The sequence below is a fragment of the Homo sapiens genome, chromosome 10 (assembly GCF_000001405.40).
Source record: "Homo sapiens chromosome 10, GRCh38.p14 Primary Assembly".
NCBI lineage: Eukaryota > Metazoa > Chordata > Mammalia > Primates > Hominidae > Homo > Homo sapiens.
In genome coordinates this window covers 90,317,287-90,327,326 of record NC_000010.11, presented here as the reverse complement: position 1 = coordinate 90,327,326, position 10,040 = coordinate 90,317,287, and the positions used below count along the sequence as shown (strand labels likewise).

The following is a 10,040-nucleotide window of genomic DNA, read 5'->3' as shown; positions in this document are numbered from 1 at the left end:
CACTTTACAGCCTTGATGGAGAATTCACTGTTGGAGTTCTCCCTCTCTGAAAACTTAGATGTAGCAAGTCTTCCCTGTCCACTGATACTTGGTCATAAGTTAGTATTGTGAGTCCGAGGCACTGTCTGCCACCACACCCTTGTTCTAAGAAATGCTTCAGTTCTCCACAGCAATGATCATCTTCATGACTAGGTGGCTGGGAACACTTGGCATAAGCATTTCTCAGCCACTGAGGAGTTAAATCTCAGTACCTTATTAATGGCATGTTTGAACCATGACTCAAAGTTATTTTCTCTGTCCTCTGGCTTAGTTCTTCCTAAGAACTTCCTCAGTTTCTGGTGGAAGAAAGTTTGTACCCATGGATTATATGACTGTTTCACTGAAGTTCCACAATAACAGCCCAGTCCTTAGGGGAACCTGCCTCCACTGGCACAGCGTAGCAGTAACTTAAAGCCCTTCCAAGGAGGTCTGGCATTGATTTCCTCTTGTCATTTTAAAAGGACTCTGAAGTCTTAGGATAATGAGGATCTATATAGTTTAAATTAAAAACTATCCTCCTTTCAAGTCTGCAATTTTGCATAATGCTGTGCCAGCATCAGTTCTTAACTTGCTCCCCACTGACTTTGTACTTATATTCCAAGAACCATTATGACTCACATCTAATTTAGCCTTACTCCCTTGTATCCTGTGTCCAGTAGTCAGACAGTCATGGTGAAAATAAGTCCTTGGCACAGATCTGTGTTGATTTGTTATTCAGAAGCATACTGAGTATTATAACTAAATACAAAATCACAGGAAAGAAAAGAAATCCTGAAAAAAAAAAAACACAAAAAAACCCAAAAACCTCTGGCATCTTAATGTGATCCAGCCTATGCACAGCATTTCACTAAAATAACACAGTCTAACAACCAAATATAATTAAAGAGAAATTCCAGTATTGGTTTAACATCTCAAAATGGCAACTTGTAATTCACAGAAATATTTTTCCTTTTCTCAACTCTCCAAGCCTCAGCTCTACACAGCTGCTTTCACTCCTTTTTGCTGAATACCCCTACTTTATTCTCACTTTAGTCCTCATTCCTCAGCTTCTCTTCAACCTTTTCTCCATCTTCCCTCTTTTGGCCACAATGCTGCACCACTAGCTGGCTCAAGTGGCTGACCACCAAGACTTCTGGTTCCACTAAAGGTCACACCAGGCTACAATAAGACAGGACTTGGGGGGAATATGTGGGGTCAGGCTCTGTTTGGTTTTAATGTGTTTCCTTCAAAACTCAGATGCTGAAACATAATGGCCAGTGTGATGGTATTAAGAGGAGGTAACTAGGCCATAAGGACTTGTCCCTCATGAGTAAAGAGTGTTTTTTGCTTTGTTTTGTTTTGTTTTGTTTTTGAGAGGGAGTCTTGCTCTGTCACCTGGGCTGGAGTGAAGTAGCTCGATCTCGGCTCACTGCAACCACCATTTCCCGGGCTCAAGCAATTCTCCTCCCTCAGCCTCCCAAGTAACTGGGATTACAGGTGCATGCCACCACTCCTGGCTAATTTTTGTATTTTTAGTAGAGATGGGGGTTTTACCATGTTGGCCAGGCTGGTCTCGAACTCCTGACCTCAGGTGATCCACCCACCTCGGCCTCTCAAAGTGCTGGGATTATAGGCATGAGCTACCGCACCCGGCCAATAAAGAGTTTTATAAAAGAGGTTTCGTGCAGCTTTCAGCTAACTTGCTCTTTTGCTCTTCTAATATGTGAGGACATAACATTTGTCTCTTTTGCCTTTCCTGCCTTCTGACATGTGATGATGCAGCAAGAAGGTCCTCCCAAGATGCCAGTGTCTTGATCATGAACTTCCCCGCCTCCAGAATTGTGAGAAAATACATTGCTGTTCTTTAAAGATTACCCAAGCCTGGGTGCAGTGGCTCATGCCTATAATTTCAGTACTTTAGGAGGCTGAGGTGGGAGGAGTGCTTCAGACTAGGAGTTTGAGGCCAGTATGGGCAACATAGACCCCCATCTTTACAAAAAATAAAAAAAATTGCTCTGTCTAAGGTATTTTGCTATAGCAGCATGAGCAGACTAAGACTGGCCTCTAGTATTCTCTCTCCATGGATGTAAATAGTCAGAATCCCTTGAGAAATTTGGCCTTTACTCACTTTAAATGGTTTTCTTATTGAAAATTCACATGGGGCCTTTTATTTGGGGGTGGGGGGCACAGGGTCTCACTCTGTCACCCAGGGTGGATTGCAGTGGTGTGATCATGGTTCACTGCAGCCTCAAATACCTGGGCTCAAGCAATCCTCCCACCACAGCCTCCTGGGTAGCTAGTACTACAGATGCATGCCACCATGACTGACTAATTTTTAAATTATCTGCATAGATGAGGTCACATGTTGGCCAGGCTGGTCTTGAACTCTTGGGTTGAAGCCATCTTCCCACCTTGGCCTCCCGAAGTGCTGGGATTACAGGTATGAGCTACTGTGCCTAGCCACATGGAGCAATTTTTGAGAATAATATTCTCTACCAAAACATGTATCACCAACATATTAGGAGAAGAAATTGTAAGCCCAAACCGGAGATTCAGCTGGAGTACAGGAGTCTGTTAAGAGGTCCCAATTTTATCCTGATGCTTACTGACTTCACAGGTTATCATAAGGGTCAAAAGTGTTTCCTCCATAGTCCATAAGAATAATCAAGATTGCATGGAGAAATGTTTAAAAACAGAATGAAGAGCTACAATTGGAGGAATTGCTGCCAAGCAGGAAACCTGCCCAGGAAGTGGAGCAGGTAGGCAGGAAGGTAATGAAAGCACTCTGGGCTTAAATCTCAAACTACCTACTAGAGAGGGACAGGAGAAAGGCAGCAGAAGCAGATTTGAAGGACACCTGTACATGCCTCTCCCATCTTCAGCAAGATTCATAAAGAAACAGAGTATTTTTAAAAAAGAAAATAAAAAACATTGTGGAGTTGCAGTGAGAGGAAAAGGCTATTTAGAGAACATTGTCAAAAGGAGATTGGCCATGAGTTGAAGTCCCAGCTCATCTATTTAATAGATAAATGATCTTGTACAAGTTATTTTCCCTCTCTGTGGCGCAGTTTCCCCATTTGTAGTAGGGAAGCAATCATCCTGCTTAATTGGTACTTACTTCACAGGCACTGAGAACAGCTGTTCAGCCAGAGAGATCTCTGGGGAGGCTCCTAATGGACAGAGACTATGTGGTTCTTCTGAGCAAACTAAAAATAAAATAATCAATAGCTTTGTATTGGGAATTGATTACAAAGATATTTCAAATCTCTGAGAGTTCAAGTAAGAAGAGTTTGTACTGAAAAGTATAAATATAAAGTTCTGGCATGGGGACAAGATGAACCCTCTGTCTAGCACATTTCATTTAGGAGTATAGAATGGTTAGCTTTGGTAGAGGAACTAGTCAGAGAAAGGTATGTATCATACCATGAGAAGTAATAGGAAGGGGCCTGCAAATCACATATTCATTCATCCATTCACTCATTCATTCATTCATACATTGAGCATTTACTGAGTATCTACTACCTGTGTTAAGTGCTAGAGTTATATCAATGAACAAAATTCCAACCTATAGTTGGGTAGAGGAGCCAGTCATTTGACAAATAAGTGCATATATAATTTAATTTTAATAAATGTGTCTCTGAGAAGCACACTATACACGGAATACATAAAATCAAAACCCTGAGAGTTTACAAAAAGTTTCCCAAAATCCAAGTTGAGATAAAAAAGATGAATAAAAATTGATCAAGTGAATAAGAAAGAAAAGAAAATTCCAGACAATGAGATGAACATGTGGGAAGACCCTGATCCCAGAGACAGACTGGTATCTGTGGGAAACTGAAAGTTGATCAGACAGTAGATTCAGAGGAGCATGTGCATGCAGGAGAATCATTTCAAACAAAGCTGAAAAAGCAGGCAGCAAAAATGTGTGGAAGGGTGAAGGGGTAAGGACCTATCAATGGCTGCTGTAAATTCAATAGATAAATATAAATTTTGTTTGTAACATTTAGGAGCAAAGTGGCTAAGGTATGAAAATTTCCCAGGACCCTTAAACTAAAACAAAGGGAACCCAGTCTGCCCTGACGCATGGCCACGTGGGACAGGGACAGAGAGAAAGATCTATGCAAAGAACATCTGTGCAGATGAGTGCAGAGAAGATCCTCAGATTATAAGGAAACAGAATACAGGGAGCTGAAGCTTTTCCTAGAAAAAAGAGATGAAAACCATTTGGCTTTGTGGGAGGAGATTATAGAAAAAACTAAGACAAAACTGAAATACTGCAAGAAAAAGTGAGGAGAAGCACAGATAGCTGAGGAGTAAAAAGAAATAGTTTTCTGACATAAAAATTTCTAGAGGGGAAGCAGGCCAATTCTTCTCCCCTAAGATTCTTAGAAATAGGAGGGAAAAAGCTACAAGACTGAGAAAAGTAGGTTAGTAGGCCCCGTTTACAAGAATCTTAAAATGCAATAATAAAATGGTAGTGGCTAACATTTTGACCATTTACTGTAGGCAAGGAGAACTATCTATATTATTGTGTTTAATCCATCTAGCAACCTGGTACCCAACCTGATTAGGCACCATGATTGCTTCCCTATTACAAATAAGAAACTGAGCCATAGAGAGGGGAAATATAACTGTCCAAGATCATTTATGTTTTAAGTAGATGAGCTGGGACTTAAACTTGTTGTGACTCTAGAGCTTGGTAAATAATACTTTACTGGCTTTCTACATTGCCTTCCCTAGAAAGGAGGAAATTGTACAAAGACAATGGTAGATTGAAGAGCTTCAGATTCAAGAAGAAAGGAATAGTGAAGAGGAGTTAACAAAAAGCTTGGCAGACATTTATCAATTCATCACACGAGGGTCATAGATTATTTCTAGTTGGATGGTCCAGGACACTAAGATGGATTCTTTCAGTGCTAGTATTTTTTAAATACGAAGTTCACACATTCATGAGATCCAGTTAGTCCAGGTCTTCTTTTCTAGCTTAATACAGTGCAAAAATGTACCATCAAGAGTTATGGAAGAGGATAAAAAAACACATTTCCTCAGCTGGCCTTTTGGAAAGGTGATGAACTCCTGTTTTCAGAAAGCCCGACTTTGCATCCTTTTGGCCAGATTTCTCACCAACTGACTAGAGAACAGACTGAGTTTTTTAAAAAATAATTTTCCCTTTCATTTTTAATAATAGTTATAACATTTTATGACTTTTCTTACAAGCTCCGCTAACTGAAGGGAAAATTACAAGTTTAGATGATAAACTTATAAGAATAATGTCAAAGTAACATGGGGATGACTAGGGATCAGTTTTGGTGCTGTTTAGTATACTTACATTTGCTTGTGTGCAATCAACCTTTTTATGTGGTGACATCTATTTGCAGGTAATACTAAGTCTCAGGTACCTAAATCTACAATGGCATTAAAATGTGATTGTCTTTATTGATCCAAGGGAAATAGTCTTGATACTGACTTAGTAGTAAATTAGAAAATTGTTCCTTGGTAGTAAATCAGAAAAATAAAAAACACAAATGAGTTTTATATTTTTTGATATCCTGAGCCACACTCAACATGAACATGGTTGCTGAAGAAAGCTAAAAGTTTAATTTCATGTGAGTTCTTCAGGCAACATATTATTCAGAATTTTTCTTATTTCACAATCCCTTACCATTCAGCTGATTCTTTGGATGCCTTTGCTCATTCACTCAGTATGCTGGTGATGCACCAGTAAGCACAGTCCATACCAATGAGACGTTAGCAGTCTGAGGGAGGATCTTAATGTCTCTTAATATTTCTTAAAATAATTAAATATTTCCATGGCAAATTTTTTACTGTTGTACAATGTTTCAGAATTCAGCTCCTAACCAATAATAAGTTATGATTCTATTATTCCTTCAGAAACAAACAAGCATCATTTCTAGAAAGGTGGGTAGGTGTCCGCCATAATAAAATGCCCTAAACTGGATGACTCACAGTTGTAGAGACTGGAATTCCAAGATTAAGGTGCCAGCATGGTTGGTGTCTGGTGAGGGCCTTGCAGACGGCCACCTTTTTGATGTGTCCTCACATGGTGAAGACAGAGAAGTCTTTCTTTCTTCATCTTCTTTTCCCTCCTAGCTTTATTAAAGTATAATTGACAAATAAAAATTTTGTATACTCAAAGTATACAACATTATGATTTGACATACGTATATTTTTGTGTAATGATTACCACAATCAAATTAATCAACACTTCTATTACCACACATAGTTGCACTTTTGGTTTGTCCAAGAGAAGTGAGGACACTTAAGGTCTACTCTTTTAGCAAATTTCAAATAAACAATAAAGTATTAACTATAGTCACCATGCTGTATATTGGAACTTATTCATCTTAGAACTGAAAGTTTGTACTCTTCAACCAGACCAACATCTCCTCATTTCCCCCACAGCCCGGAATATGTAAGACCTGAAACTGTAAAACTCCTAGGAGGTTTATATGTTCATGCCTGTAGTTCCAGCTACTTGGGAGGCTGAGGCAGGAAGATAGCTTGAGCCCAGGAGTCTGATGCCATGGCTATGATTGTGATACTGCTCCACTAAACTCCAGCCTGGGTGACAGGGTAAGACCCTGTCTGTCTAAAAAAAAAAAAAAAGGATGGGGCAGGGGGATGCCCCTTGACATTGGCCTTGGCAAGGATTTTTTGGATATCACTCCAAAAACACAGGCAAAAAAGCAAAAAATAAGAATAAACAGACGGGACTACATAAAAGTAAAATGCTTCTTCACAGCAAAGGAAACAATCAACAAAATGAAAGGCCAACCTACAGAGTGAGAGAAAATATTTGCGAACCACATATGTGATAAAGGTTTAATATCCAAAATATATAAGGAACTCATACATCTCTTTCTCTTCTTTTAAGGCCACAGTCCTACGGGATTAGGATCCTTCCCTATGACTTCATTTAACCTTAATTACCTTCTAAAGACCCTATTTCCAGATACAGTCACACTGGGAGTTACAGCTTTAGGATATGAATTCCAGGGGGAAAGGGGGGGCATACAGTTCAGTCCATATCAGTTAAGAACGTTATAAAGGCATTTGTCCACAAATCTTTCAAATCTGATTAATTTATTAATTGGTATTAATACAAACTTGTGTTAAAAAGGACTTAAGGTCATCTGGTTTAATTTTCTCTTAAAAACGGAAACTCCTTCTCTAATCGGGGTGTTTCTAAAGAAAATACTCGAGGATTTCTTGATTTCTATGTCTCTATGTTACCTTTTATTCTTCATAAGTAAAAGTAATAATTTAATATCTTTTAAAAGTTTTTCACTATCTGAAAACACCCAAATCAACTTGCAAGGACTGCGCTTTTAAAACAGTAAGTTTTATAAGGATATATATTTTTTTTCAGTTGTATTTCTCAATTGAGTGAAAAAATATGTAGTATTAAATCTCTGTTCTCTTGCTTCACTTTCCCTTTTACTCCGAGGGACAACAAAACAGTACTGGCTAACTACTCTATTAATGGTGCACTCTCCAGGAACTGCAGTCCCCACTGTGCTGCCATTACAAGTAGTCAGAAAAGGTCATTGTGACTTAAAGTGAGCGCTGCAGGTGAAACAAGCTGGATCCATGAGTCAGTGATGACTCATTCTCAGATCATTCTGCCATGCGAAGCTTAACAGCATCTGGTATGAAAAACTCCACAGACATGCCAAGTTATTCACAATTGTTTCATGTACATTATTTCCAGTCTTCAAATTTAACAAATGTTTATTATTAGTTTATCGTAAACAGGGACTGTTCTCAGTCAACAAACATTTACTGAGCTTCATCTCTGTGCACTGGATGGCACTGGGGATAAAATACAAATAGGATATGCAGTGACTTCTACAGTAATGAGAAGGAAACCCCAGAGCCTTGGCCAGTGCAGATAAAACCTGGCCTTTTCTTTGACTCCACACCAGCAGAGACTCAGACACCCACATGTTCTCCTTCATGAATACTCACAGACTTATCATTACCACCTGCTTCAGCACCATCAAGGCTCAGCTCATGGTGCCATTGATTTCTGCTTCGAATCACCAGAGCAGCCCAGACTCCCAGGTCATCCTTTATCCCTCAGATTTTTATCTTCCTGTCACTTCATACAAATAACTCCTAATCCATCGCCCATGCTACTTCAAGCTCTGAAACCCTTCCACTGTAAATTCTTAGACTCAAGATCAATCGGGAGCAAAATCTCCCGTATCTTCAGACTATTCTCTGAATGCTTCCTTTGCCATCTTGCTAAAAACTGGGTCACCCTAAGCTCACTGCTTTCCTTGTAGAACCCCTAAGTGGAGGGTATTTTCTCTCTAAAACCCTCTTGCTGCTGGTCTCTGAAGGAGATTGTTATATGCCTTCCTTGTCATCACCACTTCAGACCACTTCTCTTTCCCATTTCCTGACTTCCCCTTTCCTGCTACTGCTACACACACACAGAGCTTTACACAACAGGTCATCCAACTAGAACACCGACTGGTCCTTCTAGTTGTGCTCCTCTTCAGATCCCCAGATTACTCTCTCACTGCCTAAAGCTTTTAGAGCCTGGCTCAATGAACTCTTTCCAATTCTATTATTGCCATCATTTTTGGTGGTTTTTAATATTCATGTCGATGATCCTTTCAATGTCTTAATCTCTAAGTTCCTTGACACTCTATCTTTCAAGAATCTATCTCTCAACCATAGTTTACCCATTTACCTCCAAGGTCACACTTTTGGCTTTATTATTACCATAAACTACAAATAATCTAGTCTCATGGTTACGAAGGATTTGTACTCTGATGACCCTCAAATTTTATCGTCAGCTGCATATCTTCTCTGAAATTAAAAATTACAAACTAATTCATAATTTGCCTATATGTACCTGCTATGCTCATTCACCGCAAGAGTGTGCTAGGCCCAACAGTATTGTATTTAAAGATCAGAAAATCTTAGCTTTATTTCCAGCTCTGATACTTACCTTTATATGCAAGTTGTTGTTCCCAATTCCTCTCTGTTCCCTATAAGAGGATTATACTCCCCCTGCTTCTAGCAACAGGCTTGGATATGTGACTTGGTTTAGTGAAAGAAATATAAACAGAGTGTTTTATGCTAAGTCTTAGCAAAAGCTCTAAGAGCCATATGTGGTTCCAGCACTGCTCTTTTTTTCTCTGCCATACAACGGAGAAAGGGCTGCTTCTTCAGTGTGGATCCTGGAATCAAGAAGATGTAGGACACAGTCAAAGGTAGTTTACAACTGCACTTATGTGAGTGGGAAATAAACCCTTGTCATTGTAACCTACTGAGTTTGGGGTTCATTGCACAGCATAATCTAACAGATTTGGATGTGTCAGAGTTTCCTAATTTATGCAATGAGGACAATAATGATATAACTTTCTTGTCCATGTCAGAAAGTTGTTGATGGGATTAAGTGAGAAATACATATGAAAAATGTTTTATAAAATTCTACTATGCTATTAGCATTATTACTGGAACTGGAAATATATGGAATTTCAAGATCTAAAGTTATTTATGCTTCTTTATCCCTGCACACAAGCCATTCAATGGAAATACAGCATGTGAGATATGCTAACGTGAACAAATCATGATTTTATTCTTTCTTATTTACTAAAAAAGTAAGGCTGATGTTTAGAATATCAAGAATATTAATGAGACGTAGAAAAACTGTACCCTTAAGACTTCATTCCTTCAAGATAATGCCTGCCTACCTCTCTGCCCACACACATTTATTAGATACATCTCATTTCTTTTCTCTTTTCCTACGCTATGCCATTGTGTTGCATTTACAGGACTTCAAGGTTGTGTCTGAAGTTTTAGAACTCTGAGTTACCTGAGAGACATCCCAAGGAGCTTATGCCAGTGGGTGTGGGTGGCAGAGGCTGCGCATTGCAGAGTTACTAGGCACAAGGTTGGAAACATCATTCTGCCCCCACTTCCCTGCAGAGGAAGGGCATGCCAGTGGGCTGAGAGGAAGTGCTGCATGCTGAGATCAGTGAGCT

The 10,040-nt window shown here is 39.4% G+C and overlaps 2 annotated features.

Moving 5' to 3' along the window:
* Positions 6,846-7,579: an enhancer, noted in NCBI's record as "OCT4-NANOG hESC enhancer chr10:92079505-92080238 (GRCh37/hg19 assembly coordinates)". NCBI's record gives its function as "activates a minimal SCP1, AML or CMV promoter by ChIP-STARR-seq in naive and primed H9 embryonic stem cells {active_cell/tissue: H9 hESC(naive and primed)}" and the evidence as "EXISTENCE:reporter gene assay evidence [ECO:0000049][PMID:30033119]".
* Positions 7,580-8,315: an enhancer, noted in NCBI's record as "OCT4-NANOG hESC enhancer chr10:92078769-92079504 (GRCh37/hg19 assembly coordinates)". NCBI's record gives its function as "activates a minimal SCP1, AML or CMV promoter by ChIP-STARR-seq in naive and primed H9 embryonic stem cells {active_cell/tissue: H9 hESC(naive and primed)}" and the evidence as "EXISTENCE:reporter gene assay evidence [ECO:0000049][PMID:30033119]".